This window comes from Homo sapiens, chromosome 1 (assembly GCF_000001405.40).
Source record: "Homo sapiens chromosome 1, GRCh38.p14 Primary Assembly".
Lineage (NCBI taxonomy): Eukaryota > Metazoa > Chordata > Mammalia > Primates > Hominidae > Homo > Homo sapiens.
The window spans coordinates 65,354,980-65,381,975 of record NC_000001.11 but is presented as its reverse complement, the minus strand read 5'-3'; the positions used below and the strand labels follow the sequence as shown (position 1 = coordinate 65,381,975).

Below are 26,996 nucleotides of genomic sequence, written 5' to 3'. Positions count from 1 at the left end.
TGCTTCTCCAAGTGCTTTCGGTATTGTGTCACATAATTTAAGCCTTGAGAGTGAATTAATTTGGAGGATTGTGAGGCTCTCGTACTATCTTGCTACCTACCAGCTTTGTCTTAAACATCATTGTTACGTTCTTCCTAGTTTGACATTTGTTCCCTCTGATAAAGAAAACAGAATAAAGGAGTTAAGATTATACCACATGCTTCAAGAAATTGTTGTTGTTCTTATTCCAAACACAGTTTTAAAAAAAGGATATTTTTCTTAATCTGATTTATTTTCAGAATTTAGCCTTCCTGACACTCTTTTCACAGATCCATGGCTCTTGGATATGTAGCCTCTCTTTTTACCTGTGATGCAGGTCTTTTAAAAACTTTGGTTTTTTATTAAAAGACTAGTATAGCCTATTGTTATTATCATTTTTTTTTTTTTTGAGAGGGAATCCTACTCTGTTGCCCAGACTGGAGTGCACTGGCACGATCTCAGCCCACTGCAACCTCCGCCTCCCAGGTTCAAGCAATTCTCCTGCCTCAGCCTCCCCAGTAGCTGGAATTACAGGTGCACAGCACCACACCTGGCTAACTTTTTACATTTTTGGTAGAGATGGGGTTTCACCATGTTGGCCAGGCTGGTCTCAAACTCCTGACCTCAAGTGATCCACCTGCCTCAGTCTCCCAAAGTGCTGGAATTATAGGCATGAGCCACCACGCCCCACTATGCTTATTATTTTTAATATAATAACCAGTAGTATATTAAGATAAAAATAAGAGGCCTGGTGGGGTCACGCCTGTAATCCCAGCACTTTGGGAGGCCAAGGCGGGCAGATCATGAGGTCAAGAGATCGAGACCATCCTGGCCAACATGGTGAAAACCCGTCTCTACTAAAAATACAAAAATTATCTGGGTGTGGTGGTGCGTGCCTGTAGTCCCAGCTACTCGGGAGGCTGAGGCAGGAGAATCACTCGAACCTGGGAGGCAGAGGTTGCAGTGAGCCGAGATTGTGCCACTGCACTCCAGCCTGGCAACAGAGCAAGACTCGGTCCCAAAAAAAAAAAAAAAACAAAACAAAACAAAAAACAAAAAAAAAAAAACTCCCTCCCCCAGCTTCAATTCCATTTCCCAAAGACATGGTATTCATTTCCAACATATGCATGTCCTTTTTGAGTGAGCTTATTGAGCACCCTGTAGAACCATAATCTTTTGTTTGCCTCTTCTTTTTTCTTCTTCATTGGGTTTTTATTCTTTATGAAGAATCACTGGAACTGGGAGTTTCTGGTCTCCATTGAGCCATCTTTCCTCCATCAAGTTGTCAGATGTAGGCTCTCTGAACTTACAGCAAATTCTTGAGTAAAGAGAAAATCACCAAGGTCCTTAAGGTTGCTTAGTCCCTAAAAGTAATCTGTTCTGTTACACCATCTGCTGTGCCTTGGAAAGGAAAATCCTTTGGTCTTTAACATTAAATTCTTACAAACACCAAGTGTTATCCCTTTATTGCCAAGAGTTTGGAGATGTGAAGTAAAAAGAAAGAAAAAATGTTCTTTAACTTTCTTTCCTGTTTTAGCCAACTGGCTCTCAAGAAAGGACAGGGGGTTGGGAATCATCAAGTAATACTATAGCAAAAACATATACACTAAAGTTTATAGAAGCTTTAAAATTTATAGAAGCTTTGAAATTTCCAGCATTAATGCTCAGATTCCATTTGTGTATTCAATCACTTATTGAAGCCTTTTATGCCTGCAGTACAAAAGTTTAAAAAAAGGCATGGTTCTTTCCTGCAAGATTATAATAGTCTAGTGGGAAAATATGCAGGAGAAGAGCTTACTATGACACAGAGTATTAAAAGCCACAGAAGACATTTAGATATAATGGGAATGTCTGTATTGTGAAAATACTCAAGAGTCAGAAGGATTTTACTGAAAGTTGAGTTGTAAAGGACAGGCAAGAGTTCTGAGAAGAGTTAGGGAAAGGAACTCTAGGAAGTCAATGGTCAGAAAAACCATTAGTCTCACTGGGAATGCTCTAAAATACAGTCAATCTATGTGACTTCTTACAAGGACATAGGTATCTTTTTTCTTTTATTTTTATTCAAACACAAACAGGAAGAAAAAATAAATACGCCAATATGTTAATGTTAACTTTATTCACACAAAAGTCAATGGCATTTTTAGCTGTGCACACACTACTCCTGTTTCTACCTCCTTTATAATACTTAGCACATTCTAGAGTCCCCACACTATGTGAGTTGTGTATACATCTGCCTTTCCCACTAGTAGTCAAGCTTTAAGTCAAGAATAATAAATCCCTTTCTTATTTTTACAACTCTCACATTACCCAATTCCTAAATATGGGCTCAGTAAATCCTATTGAACTCAAATGTTACCTGTCTACCATTGTGTACAGGCTCATCCATATTTGACCAAACCAAACCATCACCACCAACAACAAAAGGTTACTCACCAAGCAGTGGACAACACAGACATTTTTGGGATTCTGCAGTAGCCAGTTATACATATTCCGACACACAGCAAAAAGGTTGTGCAGACTGGGAGCCTGCCTAATGGGCCAACTGCATTCTGAGACCTAAGGGAGCACAGCAAAAGGAAATTAATTCCTCCAGCAACTTCCTCTTCATAAGCAGGTTATCACACCAACCAACATCTTCTGGAAGTGATACCACATCCTCTCTTAATATAGATAGGAATAGTGGGAACAGGGTCCAAATGCATGAAGAAGAGGGTGTTTAACACAGCAATTTTTTAAATTAAAGAATTCTCATTCAGTAAAGGTATGAAAACACATTTTGAAGCACATTTTAAATTAAACTAGACCATTTCAAATACATCCTTGGATTTTTTTCTATTCTGTGAGGTTACATAGAATTTCATTTCTATTAAGCATAAAATGTTTTGACCTCCCCCCAAATGTTTAATTATAGGGTTATAAGTCCTGCACCATCTCTAATTTATCCCAGCTCTCGTGATAACATGAAAAGTGCTATAGAGTGAGCCAAAGGCAGGCTTGTGCATGGATCTATTTTTTTTCTCTTTTAATCAAAGGACACAACTTACAGGGGAAACCCTTGGCATTTTCATTCATTTAACATGCATATTTTTTTCACACATTATGGATCATCAACTAAGTTATAGGAATATTGCTTGGCTCTGATCCATGCAACAATCATCTAAGACAGGTATTAATATAAACCCCATTTTGCAGATGAGAAAACTGACTCTCAGAGGTTATCCAGAGTCACACTGCTGCTCAGCGTCAGCACTGCAGCCCAGATCTTCTGAATATAAATCATGTTACAACAGCACACTGGCTGACATTATCACTTGCCTCAAAATACTGTTAAGGCATGATCCCCAGTTGATTACATACTTACTAATCTAGCTAAGAAACAACAAGGAGAAGCTTAGAGTTGGACAAACTTCATAACCTCTTTAAGCCTTTCTTCATAAAATGTGGTGAACAGTACCTCTTACATAACTCACAGGATACTACATGAACATGTACTTCAAGAGCTTAGCTCAGTATCTGACACACCCAGAGTGATAATAAATGTTGGCAATTATTATCATTTTATCGGGTAACTGCCAGTGCAAAGCCCTGCAGTCAGGACTGGCCATGTTTGAAAAAAATGAAGTCCTTCATGGTGAGAGTGTAGACTGAAGGGCCAGATTATACAGTCTTGTTAAGGAGGAGAATGACTCTCAGATCTACATTTCCAAAGATCTTTCAGGCTCCAGTATGGAGAACAGAAATGGATAACAAGAGCCTAAAGGTAGGAAGACCAGTCAGGAGGTTGGTGAGGAGTGTCAATAAGGGATGATAGTGGCTAAGGCTAGCTGAGTAGCAGTGGGGTACAAACACACTTGAGGGACTCAGGAGATAGGTGGTGGGACACCTGGACATAAGACAGGTGATACATGGTGGCAGTGTGTGCATGTGGAGGGGTGTACTGAAGAGTGTGTCAGGGGAGGGAGAGGAAAGAGTCAAGCCTGAACTCCAAGTTTCCAGCTTGAATGGCTGGATAGAAGGATACAAGAAGTGCTATTTCCTGAGATACGGAATTCTGCAGAAAGAAGAGGCTTCATACAGATGATGTCAGAATGTGCTCTGCAATCCCAAATGTCTCGAATTCCTTCTATTTGACCATGGGAAAGGGAGGCAGGAGGAATTTGTTTGATTAGCCCTTTTCTGGTAATCAGATAATAAATAATCAAAATACGACTAGGAAATTATCTGTGCTCTTGGTAGAGCTGACGTCTAAAAGCAAACACATTGAGTTTCTCTGTCTGGGGCTGCCAAGAAAGCCCATTCTTTTTTGTTAATTTGTAACTTTTTTCTACAAGATGACTGTGGGGCAAATGTCAGGAGACCTTCCAGGTTACCCACTTTCATATACCTTTAGGAGAGACAAGTATGGTTTATTAAACAAAGTATTTGAAATGTTTGGCATAGCTCCCAAACAGTCCAGGGTGATCTAGCATTGGCCTCTGTCAATTTAAACTTTATGATGCCTTGCCCCTTTTACCCAACATGATTCAGGACTGTTTCTGGTCTAGTCTTTACCCACATATATATTCCCCATTGACGTGTTTGTTTTCAAGGAACGGAAATGACTTACTGACTAAAAATACAGAATAACTGGGAAGATACATTTTGCTGTCAGAGGAATCATAAAATGTACATTTGTACAAGCTCCTTTCTGTCTGCAATGTATTTTCTTCTCTTGGTAAACTCCAATTCATCTTTTAAAACCCAGGTTCAAGATCTAATAGGCCTTATTGACATTTACTGAATATTTTACCCAACTGCTGCAGAATTTATATTCTTTTCATTAGCACATGGAACATTTTCTAGAATAGACCATAGTCCACAAAACGAGTCTGTACAAATTCAAAAACACAGAAATTGGCCAGGTGTGGTGGCTCACGCCTGTAATCCCAACACTTTGGGAGGCCTAGGCAGGCAGATCACGAGGTCAGGAGTTCAAGACCAGCCTGGCCAACACAGTGAAACTCTACTAAAAACACAAAAAATTAGCTGGGCATGGTGCCAGGCACCAGTAATCCCAGCTACTCAGGAGGCTGAGGCAGGAGAATCACTTGAACCTGGGAGGTGGAGGTTGCAGTGAACTGAGATCACACCATTGCACTCTAGCCCAGGCAACAGTGCAAGACTTCGTCTCAAAAAAATAAATAAATAAAATAAATAAATAAATAAAATAGAAATCATACCAAGCATCTTCTCTGACCACAATGGAATAAAACTTTACAACTAAATAACAAAAGGAAACTTGGAAAATACATAAACACATGGAAATTAAACAACCAATGAGTCAATGAAGAAATTAGGAAGGAAATTTAAAAATTTCTTGAAACAAATTAAAATGGAAATATACAAAAACATATGGGATACAGCAAAAGAAGTACTAAGAGGAAAGTTTATAGCAATAAACACCTATATCGAAAAAGTAGAAAGACTTCAAATTAACAACCTAACAATACACCTCAAGGAACTGGAAAAGCAAGAACAAACTAAAGCCAAAATTACTAGAAGGAAAGAAATAATAAAGACCAGAGCAAAAATTAAGAAAATTGAAACTAAAAAGAAAAAAATTTCGACAAAATAAAAGGTTGTTTTTTTTGAAACAATATACAAAATCAATAAACCTCTAGGTAAGCTAAGAAAAAGAGAGAGAAGACCCAAATAAATAAAGCCAGGAATGAAAAAGGAGACCTAACAACTGAGACCTCAGAAATACAAAGACTCATAAGAGACGGCTACTATGAACAATTATATACCAAACAAATCAGAAAACTTAGAAGAAATGGATAAATGCCTGGACACATACAACCTACCAAGATTGAACCATGAAGAAATAGAAAACCTCAACAAACCAGTAACAAGTAATGAGATTGAGGCTGTATAAAAATTCTCCTATCAAAGAAAGGCCCAGGTCCTGACGGATTCACTGCTGTATTCTACCAAATATTTAAAAAAGAATGAATATTAATCCTACTCAAACTATTTTTTAAAAATGGAAGAAGAGGAAATACTTTCGAACTCATTCTACAAAGCCAGCATTACCTGATACTAAAACTAGAGAAGGATACAACAAAGAAGGAAAACTACAAGCCAGTGTCACTGAAGAACACAGATACAAAAATCCTCAACCAAATACTTGCAAAACAAATGCAACAACACATTAAATAGATCATTCACCATTATCAACAAAGATTCACTTCATGGCCAGGCATGGTGGCTCACGCCTGTAATCCCAGCACTTCAGGAGGCTGAGGCAGGCGGATCACGAGGTCAGGAAATCGAGACCATCCTGGCTAACACAGTGAAATCCCGTCTCTACTAAAAATACAAAAAAATTAGCCGGGCGTGGTGGCAGGTGCCTGTAGTCCGAGTTACTCGGGAGGCTGACGCAGAAGAATGGCGTGAACCCATGAGGCGGAGCTTGCAGTGAGCCGAGATCGCACAACTGCACTCCAGCCTGGGTGACAGAGCGAGACTCCGTCTCCAAAAAAAAAAAAAAAAGTTTTACTTCATTGGTACAAGGATGGCTCAATATATGCAAATCAATAAATGTTATATACCACATGAATAGAATCAAGAACAAAAAATACGTGATTATTTCAATAGATGCTGAAAAAGTATGTGATAAAATTCAACATCCCTTTATGATAAAAATCCTCATGAGGCCAGGCTCGGCAGCTCACGCCTATAATCCCAGCACTTTGGGAGGCTGAGACAGGCAGATGACTTGAGGTCATGAGTTTGAGACCAGCCATGGCCAACATGGTGAAACCCCGTCTCTACCAAAAATACAAAAATTAACCGGGCATAGTGGTAGGTGCCTGTAATCCCAGCTACTTGGGAGGCTGAGGCAGGAGAACTGCTTGAATCCAGGAGGCGGAGGTTGCAGTGAGTCAAGATCACTGCACTCCAGCCTGGGTGACAGCAAAACTCCGTCTCAAAAAAAAAAAAATCCTCAGAAAATAGATACAGAAGGAACATACCTCAAAATAATAATGGCCATCTATGACAAATCCATGGCTAACATCGTACTGAATGGAGGAAAATTGAAGGCCTTTCCTCTAAAGAATGGAACACAACAACGATACCCACTTTCGCCACTATTATTCAACATAATACTGGAAGTCCTGGCCAGAGCAATTAGGCAAAAAAAGAAATAAAGGACATCTAAATTGGAAAGGAAGAAGTCAAATTACCCTTGTTCGAACTCAACATGATCTTATGGCTAGAAAAACCTAAACACTCCACCAAAAAAACTGTTAGAACTGACAAACGAATTCAGTAAAGTTGCAGAATACAAAACCAACATGCATAAATCAACAGCATTCATATTTACTAACAGCCAACAATCTGAAAAAGAAATCAAGGAACCAATGCCATTTCCAATAGCTACAAAAAATATAAAATACCTGGGAATCAATCTAACCAAAGAAGTGAAAGATCTACACAAGAAGAACTGTAAAACTCTGATGAAAGAAATAGAAGAGGACACAAAAAAAGGAAAGGTATTCCATGCTCATGGATTAGAAGAAATAATATTGTTAAAATGGCAATACTACCCAAAGCAATGTACAGATTCAATGCAATCTCTATCAAAATGCCAATGACATTCTTCACAGAAATAAAAAAAAACCCCTAAAATGTATGTGGAACCACAAAAGACTCCAAATAGCCAAAGCCACCCTGAGCAAAAAGAACAAAGTTAGAGGCATCACATCATCTGACTTCAAAGTTTTTTACAAAGCTACCGTAACCAAAACAGCATGGTACTGGCATAAAAACAGGCACATGGACTAATGGAACAAAATAGAGAACCCAGATATAAGTCCACGCATTTACCACCAATTCATCTTTGACAAAGATTCTAAGAACTTACAGTGGGAGAGGACAGTCTTTTCCATAGATGGTGCTGGGAAAAGTGGGTAACTATATGCAGAAAAATGAAAATAGACCTATATCTCTAACTATATATAAAAATCAAATAAAATTGATTAAAAACTTGAATCCAAAACCCAAAAATATAAAATGACTAGAAGAAAACATTAGAGAAATGTTCCAGGACATTGATCTGGACAAAAATTTCTTGTGGAAGACCTCAAAAGCACACACAACCAAAGCAAAAATACACAATTGGGACTATATGAAGCTAAACAGCTTCTGCAAAGCAAAGCAAACAATCAACGAAGTGAAGAGACAACCCACTGAATGGCAGGAAATACTTGTGAACTATTCATTTGACAAGAAATTAATAACCAGAATATATAAGGAGCTCAAACAACTCAACAATAAAAAAAAAAAACAAATTAAAAACTGGGCAAAAGAGTTGAAGAGAATTAACAGATCTTCCAAAGAAGACATAGAAATGGCATACAGTTATATGAAAAAATGTCCAACATCACTAATCAGAGAAATGCAAATCAAAATCACAATATAGTGTCATCTCACTTCAGTTAAAATAGTTTGTATCAAAAAGGCAGGTAATACCAGATGCTGGTGAAAATGTGAGAAAAGGGAACTCTTATACAATGTAGGTGGGAAGGTAAATTAGTACAATCACCATAGAGGACAGTATGAAGGTTCCATATGACCCAGCAATTCCACTACTGGGTATATATCCAAAAGAAAGGAAATCAATATATCGAATATAAAGCTGCACTCCCATGTTTATTGCAGCACTATTCACAATAGCCAAAATATGGAATCAACCTAAGTGCCTACCAATGGATGAATGAATAAATAAAATGTGGTATACATATACAATGAAATATTATTCACATAAAAAAGAATGAAATCCTGTCATTTGCAGCAACATGGATGGAACTGGAGGCCATTATAACTGAAATAACCCAAGCATAGAAAGATAAATATTGCATGTTTTTTACTCATATGCAGAAACTAAAAATGTGGATCTCATGAAGATAAAGAGTAGATTAGTAGTTACCAGAGGCCAGGAAGAGGAGTGGGAGAGGGTTTGAAGGAGGAAAAAATAATATAAATGTAATTAAACTGTACACTTAAAATGGTAAAAATGGTACATTATATATGCATATTTTAACTCAAATTTTTAAAAAAGAAAAAAATGTTCAAGTGTTCTCTTGGCTCTGACTGTTTCTCTAATACTCACAGACAGAAACGCTTAGTCATCTTTATACTCATGCCCCAGTTTATTTTCATCTATTACAGCTTTTTTCAGTAGAACAACATGGTTAAATCCACAGGCTGGATTTTCACTCTGGATTTACCATTTACTACTTGATTAACCTTAGGCAATTTACTAACCTCTCCAGGCCTCAATTATCTAGTGTGTAAAGTATAAATGAGCATTACAAGATTGTTGTCAGAATTAAGTAGCACAACATAAACACAGTAAATGCTAGCTTGCGGTCAAGCTGTACTGAATAAACTGCTTATACCTGTCTCCCCTTGTAGACACCAAGCTCCATGAGAAGAGAGACCATAACTTACTCATTTTTGTAACCCCAGTGTCCACTGTGCATGTGTTGCTCATATGGTAGGTGCTCAGCAGGTATTTGCTGAGTGAATGAATGAGTGAAAGAATAAAGGAATGAACCCCATTTGGCAATCTATTTTTATAATAAGATTTGTCCACATGTACCATATCTTGAGGAGGGAACAGGTGAACCCATTTTATTGGGTTTTTTTTAGACTGTAACAGAATGAAAGTATAGAAAATTTATTTCCCCAGCAATATTTTTGAAGGTTTTAAAAACTGGCTATGACACACACACACACACACACACACACACACACACACACACACCCCAAATGTCAATATCTGTAATGAGTCTCAGCTAAAAGTTGGCTAAATTATTCTTAGCACAATAGGCTAATAGCTCCAGAATCATTAACTCAATCAAGTAAATAATATTAATTTAAAGTACTCCATAATTATATATTTACTTGATATATAATTATACACCATTAAGTAAACATACAATTAGAATTTTTTAAAAGCATGTGCTCTGTCTAAAAGGGGAAAACACTAAGGCATAAACAAAACCAACAAAATAAAAAAGGAATTCAATCACTGCAAGCTATTTTTGTAGCTCTCTGGGGTTCACAGCTTCATGCAGTAGCTGACACTTCGCAATGCTGTCGCCAGTTTTCCTGAACACCTTGAACATCTCCTGGGCTTGCTTAGCATCAGAGGACACCATACAGATTACAGCACTGCCATGATACCACCCAGTGGGAAAAAGAAGCCAAATCATCGCTAGAGCTGGATGCCATTCAATTTTCATCTCTCCATCATCCCTTGCCCAAGACAGGATGGGCAGAAGCAGCCATTCACTAAGCATAGGAATGAATGCTTCTACAGAGAGTATGACTTAATTGCTACATCTAGTGTTTTATGAATCACACACCATTTTTGGAGGATGGGGATAATTCAGTCAATCACTTATTGTAGCATTTTATTATTACCAATGTTAATCATAGCTACTACTTACTGCATGATGACTCTAAGCAAGAGACTGCTATCAAATTTATTCCTTACAACAAACCTATAAAAAAAATTCTAAGAGTGCTTGTGAGATAGGCACTCTCTTATTGGCATATCCATTTTACACAGGAGAAAAACGAGTCCAAGGAGAGGTAAAAGTGACTTGCCCAGGAAGAAGAACAGCTGAGATGTGAACCTAGGGTAATTTTTAAAGTCTAAAGTTTGTATACACTATATGGCTTCATCTCAGTTTAAAAAAATAAAATTTGTGCACTCTCCATTATACTACATTGTCTGATGACTGATAACAATAACTCCACCTTGCATTTGTAGAGTGGTTACAGCTTCAAGTGATGGCTGTATTTTACCAGGGTTAAGACATTCAATTCATGGAAGGCTTCATAACTAGAATGTGGGAGTCTCTGGTCCTCTGGCCCCCAGGCCAGGGATTGTTTTTTTCACTCCAGTTATTTCTTGTCCTGACACTGAGGCATGGTAGCAGAGTGAGAGATGAAATATGAGCTATAAACTTCTCCCACTCCAGCCAATCTCCCACCAACCTCCCACCAATGCAGAAACAACTGGGAGCTGTAGCGACCTCTTTGGTGTGCTCAGGAAGAAAAAGGGGTAAAAACATTGACCTTCAATCATGAGTCCTTTAAGACACCCAAGTTGATAATACATTTTCCAAAAATCAAATTGTTCCCAAAGGGAAAGAAATCCTAGAAGATTATGTCATTTAGAAATAGTTAAGAGGGTAGAGCCTAAAACAACCAGCTGGGCTGCAGATTTCTTTGCTGCTAGAAGGACTCTGTCACCATACTGTCCTTCCTGGGTAAACAGTGGAAGAAGGAGAGACAAAGTGGCCCTAGAATAGCATTAATCAGAACTTAAGAACTCTGGAATCAGGTTAGACTTAGTGTACATTCATCCAGCTTTCCATTTATTGCCAACAGTAATGCCAAGAAATGTGTAAAGGTTCCTGATATTCTGGGGCACAGCTATAAACCTTCTATGCAGAAACCAAACCAGTGTATACACGCATACACACACATATGCATGGAGTGGATGGGAACAGTGTTTATGTTGGGGATGATGAGAAAGGTTTAAGTATAGATAGCGGTGTTGGTTATGCAACATTGGGAATATAATTAATGCCACTGAAATTTTATGCTACAAATGGTTACAATAAGTTTATGTTATGTATATTTTACCACAATAATTTTTTTAAAGGAGCAGAAACAGATGGTTAAGCTCTCTGAAGCCTAGCAATAGATCTACATACACAGAGGAGTCATTATGAACATCTGGTTTAACTGATGCATCTTGTTGGTCTCCAGGACTTCATTGTCAGCATCAGTACTCTTATTTCCTCAAGGTGGATATTGGCTATAAAGAGTCAAAAAACATTAAAAAAAAATAAAAACACCTGAGGTTTCATACATCCTTTGCAGTCCTGAATAGGTATTCCAGTACTTCGCTTTTGAATGCTGGGCTATGTGCTATGCATTGTTTTGAGTTGTAGCCTCTGCTAAACTGAGACTAAACAAAGTCCTATTTTAACATTCTGTGACATATGCAAATACATAATAGAAAAATCAGGAAAACAGTATTGATCATTTCATACAATTCCTGTCAACCAATGTGGCTTCTAAGCATAAAAGTGAATCGAAATACAGAATGACAACCCTCAGCAAAGTAAAATCTTCCTGGAAACAGCCTGTCTTTGCCAACATCACTACCTACATCCTCAAATGCAGGTTTGAACATATACAAACAATCACATAATCATCATGTAAAATGACTGAATTCAGGTTTCAAGGCACAGAGGTATATGATGTGGGCAGATCCAGACTCCCACGAGTTTATAAATAAAAAATTCCTAAGACCTTATACACCCTTATGAATCTACAAATAAAACCAGTTCCATGTTTAGTATTTATGGTAGACTCTACCATCAACATTTATTAAAATAAGGTTTAATTTCAGACGTAGCACTCCACAGAACCGGAAGGAGTAAGAAATGGTTCTAGTCCTCATGAACTGAAAGGTAAAAACAAAGAAAACTTTTCTAAGTCATGCAACAATGAGATGCAAATCCATTCACAGTGTTAGTGCTGGGGAAAGAAAGGTCTAGGAGTTTGAAAAGAGATGTAGGCAAATCAAAAACAAAGGTAAGATGGAAATACTACGGCTTTGGGACTGCCTCCCTAAGATGCAACTAAGGGTAAAGGAGACAGGTCAGAGGATCCACTTGCATTCTGCCAAATTCTAGGACTATCTGGAAGAGCTAAAGATGTAGTGCAATCCTGTGTTTTAGGAGAGAGAATTGGAAAAGCCTCGTGGCATGTGGAAATCTTCTCCTTAGCAAAATTAGGCAAATAAAGAAGAAGATGGGCTGGGGGTGGTGGCTCACACCTATAATCCCAGCACTTTGGGAGGCTGAGGCAGGTGGATCACTTAAGGCCAGGAGTTCAAGACCAGCCTGGCCAAGATGGCAAAATCGTCTCTACTAAATATACAAAAATTAGCTGGGCATAGTGGCACACATCTGTAATCCCAGCTACTTGGGTGACTGAGGTACAAGAATCAGAACCCAGGAGGCGAAGGTTGCAGTGAGCCAAGATCATGCCACTGTACTCCAGCCTGGGCAACTGAGTGAGGCTCTTTTGGAAGGGAAGGGAAGGGAAGGGGAGGGGAGGGAAGAGAAGGGAGGGGAGGGGAGGGGGAAGAAGAAGAAGAAGAAGAGGAAGAAGAAGGAGGAGGAAGAGGAGGAGGAAGGGAGGAAGGGAGAGAGGAAGGAAGGAGGAAGGGAGAAGAAGAATGAGGAGGAGGAGAAGGAGAAGAAGGAGAAGGAGGAGAAGAAGAAGAAGAAGAAGAGGAGGAAGAAGAGGAAAGAAGGAAGGAAGGAAGGAGAAGGGAAGGAGAAGGGAAGGAAAACGGAAGGAGAAAGGAAAGAGAAGGGAAGAAGGAAGGAAGGAAGGAGACGAAGGGTGTGTGACATGGGTAGCTTTTAAGGGAGAAGGAGTAGCTCATGCAAGAAGATTGTGTGTGTCTGTGTGCACATGAGCACATGCCTATCCCTATTGGAGCATATGATTTTTGGGCAATGAAGAATGGTAAAAGATGAAGTTAGAGGAGCAGATAGAGGCTAGATCATCAAGAGCCTCACAAGATATTTTATGATTTGTATAGGCAAGAAATGACTCCACTCCTCTGACCTATATAAGCCTTTCTCCTGCTCTAAGGTCCAGCTGTCACTGGTGTCTCCCTTTACTAATCTCCCTTGGCAGGTATTATAAATATTATTTGTACTTATCTTTAGAACGTCCTGGGTTCTCTCGCCAACTAGGCTTAGGTGTCTTGAGAACAAAAACCAAATATTTATTTTATATCTATAGTGTTTAACAATTCTTTCCACATTCATGCTTTTTTATTTTTATTTTTTATTTTTGGGGAGGGATAGCATTAGGAGATATACCTAATGCTAAATGACGAGTTAATGGGTGCAGCACATTCATGCTTTTTAAAAACATTGATTATCTATGTCAGGAACTGTTGTTCTAGGTATCCAAAAAAAAAAAAAAAAAAATGCTCCCTCCTCTTCTAGGGCAAGTAAGAGCAGCCCAGGGTAGGTGTTTAATATGTAATCTCTGATTCCTTTGGTAAACCCTTAAGTCCAGTCACAAAATCTTTAGTTACACTGATAGATGCCTTTCATTAAAAACATCTTTATAGAGATTGCCTTTTATAAACATTATACAAAGAGACATCTTTATATGTATAAATGCTTCTATAATGATATCATATCTTTATTTACTTTCAGAGGGAAAATGCTCCAGATTATCACAGATCTTTCAAGGTCAAATAAAATTTCTATGAAATATTGTGTAGGATGTTCCACAGTCCTTAAATTATGAAAATAATGGCACTGACTTAGCCTCCAGTCAAGAAAAATAATTCAAAAGATTTGCCTTACATTAAGAACAAAATATCTATCCACATTTTTGTTTGATGTTAATTCACTTGTTCTGAATTAGCTAATAGATGGAATAAGAGTTGGAAGGTTATTTTATTACAGAAGATTTTAAAGAGATGCATTTAAAATCTTCATTATAGAATGGCAATTTAGATCAAACCACTTCAGAATGGCGTTATCAGTGCTTTATCAAAGAGTGGTCCCCGCAGCAACATCAGGAGCAGCCCCCAGGAAGCTGTTAGAAATGCAGATTCTTATGCCTCCCTTGTCCTTCTGAATCAGAAGTCTGTGTTTAACAAGCCCTCCAAGTGATTCTGATGCACACCAAAATTTGAGACTGTTCTCAGAATACGCTGAAAAAGAGGTCCTTAAAACTCTCCCATAGCTTATTGAATATTAGGGCAGGAAGGAGCCATATAAAGCATGTACACCAATTTTCTTGTGTGTGTTACAGATCTGGAAACTGAGGCCCAGAGATTATCAATGGTAACTGGAATTTGGAACGAAGTGTGTTCCAGCATCAAAGCTAAGATCCTAGATACACAGCATTGTCAACCAGCTATCATTTTACACATTTGACATCAAGTTTCACTTTTAAAGGATCCATGCATAGAAAGTCCATTCTATTTATTAATAGACCCAAATGAAGTTGCAGAACCAATCATATCTGAAGGCTAAGTCAAAAATATTTAGAGATGTTCTTGAGAGGGGAAAAAAATGCCTTTTTTTAGTGAGTAAGTCAGAATTCAGTGGCCAGAAATATCAGGCTCGATATCAGATTCAAACCTAAGCCAAGGTGAAACTAGGAATATTTCTCTCTCTAGTTCAAAAAACTTCTTAAAATATATTAATGGAAACACGTTCCCATTAATACTTGTCAGTACCGGTCTATCCACACTGCCTTATCTTGATACCAAGTAGCAATAAAGAAGGGTCAACGGCATAATTAGTGTAACAGCATGAAGGCAGCCAACTGCCCTAGCAGCAGTTCAATCTCCAACTTAAGCCTCATGAACACTGTGCCATGGAACAACCAGGCACCAACAGACTTGAGACCCCAACTTCGATGGTATTTCATTGACAGATACACTTTCCTGTAAGTATCCTCACCCAAGGAAAATCTTTAGGATATCTCATAGCAGCCTAATAAATATTTTGTGAACAGAAGTGTCCAGAGTGTATAGTTTTTCAGCTTCAGATGCCTAAGGGCACGTGCTTTAAGGGTATCTCTGAGGAGGAAAAGCACCATCACGTCTTCAACAGTATGATCTCAGGGCTAAAAATCCTTACCCGGCTGTGAAACTTGGCAGTTCGATAAGACTTAGGTGACAGATTGTATACTGTGTAGTGGTCAAGATGTCTGGAATCCAAAAAGCTTCGAATGTCATCAACCTGATTCCTGAATCCTATGTCAACATTGTCCAGAGGAAAGGACATCACTAGGAGAGAGATCACACAGAAAGAAAACAGGTTAAATGTTTACGTCTGCTATAACGATGGGCAGCAACGGGAAACTGAGCCAAAGGACTGTTAATAAACATGAGAAACTTACCAATAATTCTGGAGGTAACATAAGTGAAGTCTAAATCTCCCTTTGTGTAGCTAAAAGCAAGACAAAAATGGGCACTCATTAAAATGATCCAAATATGCCAAGATTTCTCTCTCTCAATCACTTGCGCATATGAACTGGGACACCGCTGTCCAGGGGGCATGTTTCGACTCCCCTCCAGCCCTTCTCTCCAACAAGGAAGGATCACTGAGAAAAGAAAGCCCGTGACCTCAGGGGTATAAATATGCCACTCCAACTGGTGCATTCTAATGCCCTTGTAGATGCCACTTCATGATCTGAATCAATCTCAGAATAGAAAACTCTGCTTATTTATCAACACCAATTGTTCTAGCTTCTTTGCCTACCTGGAAATATCTTCCATAATTGTAAGTGGCTAAGGGGTAGGGGAAGAAGTGGTTGAGAAAAAATAAATGACACCATTTTTCTGCCTACCAGGCCCTGGTTGAGAATCAGAGGTAAGAATAGTTTTATCTTTGAACAAAGATTAAAATTTTGATTAATATAATGTACTTGACGTTTGAATTTCTGATTAAGAACTGCATATTGTAACTCAAAGTGACCCTAGAATTTTCTAATACTAAACAATAAAAAATAACTCCTATGACCTGCTTATAAGAATTTTCATACAGTGGAAGAGTAGGAAACTTCTCTCACTGAATAAATGTTAAAGGGCTAGTAGGAAACAAAAACAAAGTTCTGATTTGATTACAATCCGTAGGTAATGCTTATTCAGATTGCATGTATATTTTAATCTCATTTAATCCCTAAACAACCCAAAGACACAAATCCTGTCAGGGTATAAAAAAAAAGCTCTGAGAGGTTAATTAACTTGCCTGAGGGCTCTTAGTTAACAAGGGCAGATATTGCATTAGAACCCAAGATGTTTGATTCTAAAGACAGGGAGGGCAACCATTATACTCTAATGTGGCAATGAACTGAGTCCTCCCAGCCCGTGCTTATAGCTTCTAAAGGACTTAACTTTATGTCTTCAATGACATTTCTCAGTTCATCAGATCCCATAAAATTATATCCCAAAATTGACACTCTTTGAGCCAGACAAGCAGTCAGCAGGTAACCAGATCCTTTGAGAGCATGGGGATCCACTAAATTAACTGGGAAGAATGTGCGTACCTGGTCACAGATTGTATCACTCTAGAAGATGTGTCTTTGAGGGTGTCTTTCAAGTTGTCCTTTAGGTTACTAAAGAGCCTCCCTGCACCTCCTTTTACCATGTCAAAGAGACCTCCCCCATAGCTGGGCTCCATGTCTGGAGATGAGGCACCTGCCAAAAAAAAAAAAAAACAAACAAACAAAAATGGTGATGGCAGAGAATCCACGGAAAACCAATCCCTCTTCATTCTTAAAACATACACAGACTGTCTTTAAGAGTCTGGGACAGATATTCCTGGAAATTGTGTCCCACTCTCAGAACTTATAGACTCTGAGTTATAGCATTGCTACTGGTCCTCAGGGGAGACCCAGGTCAGTCCCTCACTGAGTCCCAGGAACAGAAACCTCCAGTATTGCCGCTACTAGCCATGTGTAACAATTGAGCGCCTGAAATATGGCTAGTCTCAACTGAAATGTGCAGTAAATATAAAACACACAACACATTCCAAAGGCTTGGTGCAAAAAAAAAAGAATGTAAAGTATCTCAATATTTTTATACTGATTACATGTTGAAATAATAATTTAAATATATTGAATTAAAGAAATTATAGCTGTAAAATCAATTTCACCTGCTCCTTTTTACCTGTTTGGTGTGGATACTGAAAATTTTTAAGCTACGTATGTGGCCTTTATTGTACTACATTTGGACAGTGCTGCTCCAGAGAGACTGCTGAGGAAGAGCAGTAGTCAACTTCAGTGAGTCCAGGGCACTCCTCGGCCCTCTGATGAAGCTGACTATACTAGAAGCCCCATTCCATGGCTATCCCTTAAAGCACTGGTTCACTTCTATCATGAAAAACACCTTCTGAAGGGGCTTTAGTACAGCTTTTAGGCCTTAGGATGCATGGCAGCTATTAGTGCTATCTGTCAAATATTTCAGGTTCTCTTCCCTTTATAGCTTCTTAAAATTGCGCTTTTTGGCCCCTTGTGCTTAGCTCCAGTCCAGGGCTTCTCAATCTCAGCACTATTGACATTTTAGGCTAAATACTTCTTTATTGTGCGTGTTTTGAGGGGGTTGTCCCTGTGCACTGCAAGGTGTTGAGTAGCATTCCTGGCCTCTATTCACTAGATGCCAGTAGCACCTGCCCCAACCCCCACTCCACCTCTGAGTTGTGACAATAAAAAATGTCTCCAGAGATTGGCAAATATCCCCTAGTGGAGGCAAAATCACCCCTGGTTGAAAACCACTGCTCCAGCCTATGTGTGTGAGGGGAAGTGCTGTGTATCACAGTGTATGTTGTGCATCACTTCCAGGGTACATTTAACTGTCAATGTGATATTCTCCATAGTTTTTCTCTCTCTCTTTCTCTCTTTCTCTGTCTCTCTCTCTCTCTGTCTGTATTTCTCTCTCCCTTTGCCATAGCAATCAGCAAGGTTGGAGACTGTGGCTGCTCTGTCCATGACTTCTGGGTCCCAGAGAAAGGAGCTATGTGGCATATGACCTTTGATGACCCAGGTGACCTTTGATGAATATTTGGCATGAGTAAGTAATATGGTTTGGTTCTATGTCCCCACTCAAATCTCGTCTCAAGTTGTAATCTCCACGGGTCAGGGGAGGAACCTGGTGGGAAGTGATTGGATCATGGAGGTGGATTTTCCCCATGCTGTTCTCATGACAGTGAGAGATCTGAAGGTTTTAAAATGTGGCACTTCCGTCCTTGCTCTCTTTCTCTGTCCTGCCATCATGTAAGATGTGACTTGCTTCCCCTTCACCCTCTGTCATGGTTGTAAGTTTCCTGAGGCCTCTACAGCCATGTGGAACTGTGAATCAATTAAACTTCTTTTCTTTATAAATTGCTGAGTCTCAGGTAGTTCTTTAAAGCAGCGTGAAAACAGACTAATACAGTAAGAAACACCTGTTTGTTAATAGAAGCCGCTGATCTTTTGGGAATGTTCATAACCAAAGCACAACCTAACCTATGCAGGCTGATACAGGAAGGAAGCAGGAATCTGTGTAGAGGAGGTGGTTAATGTGAACAGTGGCCAGGTAGGGCTTTAAGGCCTAGCAGTCAAGAGCGTGAGTCATTCTCACCTGGGTTCCTGCCCAGCTTTGCTACCCCTAGCTGTGTGACCCTGGAAGTCAGTCTTTCTAAATCTCTTTCTTCCCATCTGTAAAATAGGGATAAAAATTGTGCCTACTCCATAGGGAAAGATTAAATAAATGCATATAAAGCTGTTGGCATGGTACCTAATAAATCTAGGGGTCAAGAGAACGTAGCTAAACTCTATTATGCCACATCCTGAAATTCCTGTATTGATGGTATTTTTAATCTTTGTTCACTTTCCAACTATATGATGACAAAAGACAAGAATGGCATCTATTCTTTTTCAAAACTTGCAATATATAAGATTTTCAAAATAAAGAATAATAAAAATATTCACGTAATAGGCACTATAATTGCTAACTTATATATAACACTTACTATCTGGTAGGTATTTTTCTAAGCATTTTATCTATATTCAGTCATTTAATCCTCATAGCATCCCAATGAAATAGATAATATTATTATTCCTATGTTATAGATCAGAAAACTGAGGCACAGACGTTAAGAAACTTGTCTAAGGGCATACAAGCTAGTGAACCCAGGCAACCCTTCCAATCACATCCCACTTTCTTCTCCTAATATCAGCCTGAATTTTATATTTGTCATTCCAATTAATTTCTTCAAACTTGTATTCCATATGTTTGTATCCACAAAAAATGTATTAATATTATTTTCCAAGATTTCAAGCTGTACATAAATGGTTTTCTATTTGCATAATTTTGCAACTTTATTTTTTTCACTTACTTTTGTTTAAAATTCACCTATGCTGGTACCAAATGCAGCTTTAGCTCAATTAATGTGTGTATCAATTACCCCACTGATGGACACGTAGGCTATTTGTTATAATAAGCAACACAGTGAGGAACACATGACTTTGATAACATACATAAGACTCTCTCTAGATTATACCTACAAGCAGAATTTGCCAGTAAATAAGGTATGTACACTTCATATATCTAGATATTGACAAACCATTCTCCAAAGCAGTCACAGCAGTTTAAATTCCTACAACTAGTACATATGTGTTCCTTCACTCTATATTCTCCTTAACACTTAGTATTGTCAGACTTTTACATTTTTACCACTTTGTCAAGTATAAATAAGTATCTCACTTTGGTCCTATTTTGGTAATTTCCCTGATTACTAGTGAGGTGAAGTATCTTTTACTGTGCTTACTGGCCAGGTGGCTGTTCTTTCAATCATATTTCAGGTACCAGTACACTCCTACATGCCACTTAGATGTTCATACATATATCTATAAATACATGTTGACTGTCATGTTCTTCCATCCTGATCTTAAGAGCTATTGATACCTAACAGATGTCTAAGTCACCATTAGACATCTATTAGAAAATGAGGCTCTGTTAGAAATTGCAAAGCACATTGAATACTGGTAAACAAACAATGAATGGACATATGGACAAACATTAATCATCTCTACCACTAACTGAGCTCTCCAATGCAACAGGAACTGTGCTCAGACCTTTATGATAGTACAGTTTCATATAGCGGGAGAGTGGAAGTGGTTATTATCCCCAGTTTACAGATGAAGCAATGGAAGCTCAAAGAAGGAAAGTAACTCACCAAAGAGTCCAGTTAACGAGTGGAAGGGTCAGCAATTCAAACCCATATCTGTGCAATTCCAAAGCCTTGCTAATCTACCATTTCACACTATTCTACATCTTCACTCAGCTCAGGATTCCAACAACTATAATCAAGATGAGCCTTACCTGCCTATACACAACTGCCTCTCTCCTATTCCCTGCTCTCCTCCACCTCTCACCCACACACCTTTCATCTGGCTGCTCTCAGCGGCAGATATCCCTACAATAAGCACCCTCATAAATCACTGCATGCCAGGCAAACCAAGTCAATCTCATTACGCAGGCAGCCGAGCCTCTGTCGCCCCTACTGCTTCACAGCCCTGAATAAAAGGCCAGGAACAGGTCTAATGGGCACCTCCACAGACTACGGCTAGTGTTACAAATCTGAGAATGCTCTCTTGTGTCCTGTTTCATATGAAATAGAGCACATTATTTCCCTGTAAACACACCCCACCATGTAAAAATCTGTATCATGTTTTTGTTTTAAATATAGTGAGGATAGAGCAGCATAAAATGTTTATAATTCTCCCATTTCCATCCCTGTAACATTTTCATGTGTTCAGCCTGAACACCCCTTTGATATATAACTGTTAAAGAGAGGACATCAAATTGATTAGATGTCTCTTCAACTCTCAGTTTTATGCTGGAATAGAACTACAAGGCACCAGCCTATTAAAAGATATAAATATCCTTGATTATCTAAAAATCAGACTCTCACCATCCCTCAGGCTGCATGCTCTGCTCATTAGAGCTTTGGAATGCTGCAGAAATCAGAACAACTTGCCAGAGTCCATCTGTAACCTTCATATATTCAAATTATACGTTGAACTGGCAAGGCCACACAAAAAAGAAGAGGGGCATTATTTGATGTTGCTCTACTGGTTCTTTTAGGTAGATATTCTGGCTTTCCCTGATGAGCCACATAAGTGCCAAAAGTGCAGATTCTGCAAATATTTTAGCCTCAGCTAGTTAAGAGAAAGGGCAGAGAGGTTTCAAAATATGGCACAACAAAGAAGAAAATGGTGCAATGAGAAAGAAATGCAGAAGACAAACAATGACCACGGTAGATCAAGGGGTAACAAACTGGATCCCATGGGCCAGATCCAGTCCACGGCCTGTTTTTGTACAGTCTGTGAAATAACAATGGCTTTTACATTTTTAAATGATTGAAAAAAGTAGAAAGAAGAATGATATTTCATAACATGAAACTGGTATGAGGGTCAAATTTCAATGTCCAGAAGTAAAGTACCCTTATGTGTTTACATCTTGCCTATGGTTGCTTTCATGCTACAATGCAGAGTTAAAATAGTAGTGCCACAGATCTTACGGCCCACAAAGTCTAAAGCATTTACTCTCTGGCCCTTTACAGAAAAAGTTTTCCAACCCTTGCATCAGATGGTTAACACCACTTGTGTTCTTAGGAATGCAGAGCTTGCTACCTCCAACACCTTTCTAAATACTTTGGCTAAAATGGCACCCAGTGGAAAGAACACTCTGCTTACTAAGGGTCCTCAGGGATTTGAGGGTGTAAGAGAGTGAAGGTGAGGACATCAGAGTTGACAGAGCATGTGAGTGCCATCCAAAGAGAAAGGTCCAGGACTGCCTCTAAGGCTCCAAGTAGATTCTTGTTTCAATGATGTCTGTGGTGTGAAAATCTAAGCCCACCAAGGACAAACATCAGAGAATTGCACTTTTACCTCTGAGTCACTTTAAGGGTGTAAGAAATAAGTTTTCCTTGGGATTCCTAATGTTTGGGAAACTAGACGCAGTATCCTATTCCTTCCAAGTTGTAGGAACCTGACCAGTCCTTGCTGTCAAGAGTGACATAAAATTTGTGTTTCCTGGGAGAGAATTTCTGTCTCCCACTAGATTGCTAGTTGGCTGTTTGATCATTTATTTGTATCGAGCTTCATTCCAAAAGAGATTTGAGATGATTCAATAGTCATTTAGAAATTATATAAAGAAGATAAACACAAATGCTAGGGCTAGTCTTAACTGCCTTAATGTAACTGAAAATATAAAAAAGTGTGGCTGCTTTTCATAAACATTTTATTGATTTCTTAGCCGTGGACAAAACACTGTGAGAAGTGGTATCAAAGGAGAAGGAGTGTCCATAATGCATAGTGATCATCCCCTCATATGCTTATTCAGTACATGCCTATGGCACCCTGGGCTGTGGATAATTCCATCTGGTCCTCTAAGAAGAAATGCTCCCCCATAAAATACTGTCATCAAAAGAAGGATGGTATGCAAAAACTTACCAAAAAGAGACGTTCATCAAGATAGTGTTTACCATGGCAAGAGGCTATAAATGATGTATTTTTTTCAATAGTAAGGGAATTGTTAAATATCTCTAATAACGCCATATGGTTAGCTACTAAAATCATTTTGCAGAAAAGTACAGAAGGGCATGGCAAAGGCTAAATGTAAAATAAGCAGGCTACAACACATAATCCACTGTGTAATCTTACTTTTGTAAAAGAAAACTATCTCAGTTTAGAGAAACAATTCAGAGGATATAATAAACATAAAATAATAACAACTGAAACCTACTGAATGCCTACCACATACTAGGCCACTGATCTAAATTCTTTATATGTAGTAACACATTTAATCTTCACAAATACCCTATGAAGGCAATACCATTGCTATCTTCATCTTATACACAAGGAAACTGAAGCAAAGACATATCAGTGATTCACCCCAGGTCCTACAGTTAGTAAGCCAGGATTTGTACCCATGCAGGCTATTCTAGAGTCCAGGCTTTTATCCACTACATTTTCAAAACAGTTATAGTAATTATATTTAATTATATCTGGGAAAATGATGAGTGATTTTTGTTTGTTTTTATGATTATATTTTCTAAATTTTCTGCAAGTTACATTCATTAGGTTTTGTTTTTTTTTTTTTTTTTTTTTTGAGACTGAGTCTCGCTCTATCGCCCAGGCCAGAGTATAGTGGTGCGATCTCAGCTCACTGCAACCTCTGCCTCCCAGGTTCAAGTGATTCACCTGCGTCGGCCTCCCGATAAGCTGGGATTACAGGTGCCCGCCACCATGCCCAGCTAATTTTTGTATTTTTAGTAGAGATGGGGTTTCGCCATGTTGGTGAGGCTGGTCTTGAAGTCCTGACCTAAAGTGATCCGCCAGCCTCGGCCTCCCAATGTGCTGGGATTACAGGCATGAGCCACCGTGCCCGGCCACATTCATTAGTTTTACAATTAAAAATATGTTACATAAAATAAAGAGCCAAGTGCTATGCTATTCAAGTTTGATATGTCCTTCCTCAACAGCTGTAGAGACCTCCTTCCTCTTGCGTGATTCATCACAGTTCACAGCCACACAAGTTTCTCAGCTGGCCTGGGAGAGGCAGGCAAATGCTGCCAACAGCCCTCCAAGAGCCTGTGTGCCCCCCTCACTCCAAGCAGGCTAGGGGCTTGCCAGGAAGGAACATCCTTCTACATTTGACTTATTCTAAGACTTCAGACCCAGCTTCATCACAGTGGTAACTGTCTCAGCTCCAGCATCAATACTCAAGATGATCTAATATGCTGGGGACAGGGAGGAGATGGGCAGCAACTTGGCACCAACTGCAGTTCTTGCTCTCAAGAATTCAACCAACACTTGGCACCAACTGCAGTTCTTGGGACATCAGCCTTCTTCAGTGGATCCTCTGGGACTCCACAAAAACACTTCCACAGAACATCACTTTTCCTCTTTCCAGAATGTTTTCATCATCCAGGTCTAGTAAAGTGAGTTAGTATCCCATAGTGTTCAGGATCAGCCTTTTGGAGAGACGACTGATAAAGTGAACTTGGCATTAGAATCATGTCATATTCATGTTCCCATTCACCAGTGGGCATTTTTCTCAGTGGTTAAGAGTCACAATGTTAAAAATGTCTTGTCCTGGCTTCTATAAAATTGACAACTGTGGGATAGAAATCCCTGAAACTAAAGTGACTCTGTAGAGATGCCCCACTCTAGGGAAAAGCCATTCCTTCACAGTGCTTGGCAAAGGGCAAGGAAGGAACTCGTGTCATTATCACAAAGGGCTTCATCATCCTTCTTTGTAACAGATTTTTCAGATCTTGGCTCCCAGCAGTTAGAGAAATGGATCGTATGGGCATAACAAGTAGATATACCATGGAAAAAGCCACTGCTTTGGCTCCAAAGGCTGCTTACGTCTCATTCCCCATTCATCTCACTCCAGGGAAGCTTTGAGGAAATGTAACAGACTTTGAGAAGAGAGGTCTCAGACTTGAAACTTGGTTTTTCTGCTTAAAAGCTGTGTGACCTTGAGTATGTCATTTTACTCCTCTAGGCCTCCTTCCCCCCACCAACTCCCCACCCTATAAACTGGAACTAATTAAGAACAAAAACTTTTCTACATGCCTCATGTCATCAACAGGATCAAATAATAACACGCATGACATTGTGATTTTTATGTAATGAGATCTTCTAAAATGACCAGAAATTTTTATTTTTTTAAATTTATTTTATTTTATTTTATTTTATTTATTTATTTATTTATTTTTGAGACAGAGTATCATTCTGTTATCTAGGCTGCAGTGCAGTGGTGCAGTCTCGGCTCACTGCAACCTCCACCTCCTGGGCTCAAGTGAGTCTCCCACCTCAGCCTCCCGAGTAGCTGGGATTACAGGCATGCACCACCACACCCAGTTAATTTTTTGTAGAGACAGGGTTTCACCATGTTTCCCAGGCTGGTCTCGAACTCCTAACCTCAGGTGATTGGCCGGCCTTAGCCTCCCAAAGTGCTGGAATTACAGTTATGAGCCACCATGCCTGTCAGAATTTTTATTTTAATTCTTAGAAATTCAGCACTCATAGTACATGATTCCAAGGAATGCCTCCCACAAATGGCTGGGAATCCAACTAGAAATTAAAATTTCAGAGAAAAAAAGATAACATTTAGCAAAATAACAAATCAATAACCCCTATGCCAAACAAGAGGTTAGGCATTACAGAAGGCAACCTGTATTAAAATACAGGCTTTATGTCAGCTTCAGTTCAGCCAGAACTGATCTGGATCCTACCTCTGCTATTAGCTGGATATATAGTCTAGAGAAGTCTTGATTTCCTTATCTGTAGAATAGAAATATTAATAGAATGGCACATAGAAGATAAAGCCACAAAAAAATGCTGCCTCTAGCAAACTCACGCAGCCTTGGCCAGAAAAAAAAAAAAAAAAAAAAAAAGCCATGCTGTTCCATTTCAGGGTTAACAAAGCCAGACTGGAGATGTGTCTAGCAAGCCTCCCTAGGGTAAGAATCTCCTATTGGTGTATCCAAGCTATGGCCCATGGAAACTCTTCACTTTTGATAGTTCAGAAGAACAAATGTTTAACAGAAGTGAACCTCTTTATCACTCTGAAGTTTCTGCTTCTCATCTTGACGTGACCTGGTGCCTGGTAGGAGGACTTATTGTGAGCTATTTGCAGGACTAATATTCAGGTTCACTCAGATTCAGTAGTACTGGTTTTTGATATATTACAATACTTATGTACTAGGTGGCACGTGGTATAAGCTACAGCTGTGGCCCTGGACACAGCTGCTCAACAGACCAAGAGAGCAGAAGCAGGGGCATGTGTAGCATCCATGGAAGGCTCCAGGGGAGCTAAGCACTGGCAGGCAGAGGCCACAGAGCAGGTAATGCCAATGAGTCAGGCTTTCTCGTTTCAGGCCACATAGGAAGCATAGGCATCCAAGACCATCACAGCTCTTACAAGGCAATAGCACACCCAACTCTCTTTGTACTGCAATAAAGTGCCAGGGCCCTTAGGATAATCTTTTTCTTTTTTTTTTTTTTTTTTTTTTGAGACAGGGTGTGGCTCTCTTGCCCAGGCTGTGCAGTGCAGTGGCCCAATCTTGGCTCACTGCAACCTCCGCCTCCCAGGCTCAAGCGATCCTCCCAACTCCACCTCCTGAGTAGCTGGGACTACAGGGTTGCACCCATGCCTGGCTAATTTTTGTATTTTCTGCAGCAACGGGGTTTCGCCATGTTCTCAAACTCCTGAGCTCAAGTGATCTGCCTGCCTTGACCTCCCAAAGTGCTGGGATTACATGTGTCAGCCACTACGCCCAACCAGAATAATCAATTTA

The 26,996-nt window shown here is 39.3% G+C and overlaps 1 protein-coding gene across 3 annotated transcripts in view; it reads right to left on the bottom strand.

The window, feature by feature from the left end:
- The window catches only part of DNAJC6 (DnaJ heat shock protein family (Hsp40) member C6), a 151,123-nt gene that overhangs the window by 33,896 nt on the left and 90,231 nt on the right, over nt 1-26,996 (bottom strand). For all 3 annotated transcript variants that reach the window (NM_001256865.2, NM_014787.4, NM_001256864.2), the window contains 4 exons: nt 17,191-17,341; nt 16,042-16,091; nt 15,780-15,928; nt 2,452-2,574 (listed from right to left, as the gene is read on the bottom strand). In NM_001256865.2, the coding sequence (NP_001243794.1) occupies nt 2,452-2,574; nt 15,780-15,928; nt 16,042-16,091; nt 17,191-17,324 (456 nt within the window). In that variant the 5' untranslated portion in view covers nt 17,325-17,341. The remainder of the gene's footprint in view (nt 1-2,451; nt 2,575-15,779; nt 15,929-16,041; nt 16,092-17,190; nt 17,342-26,996) is intronic.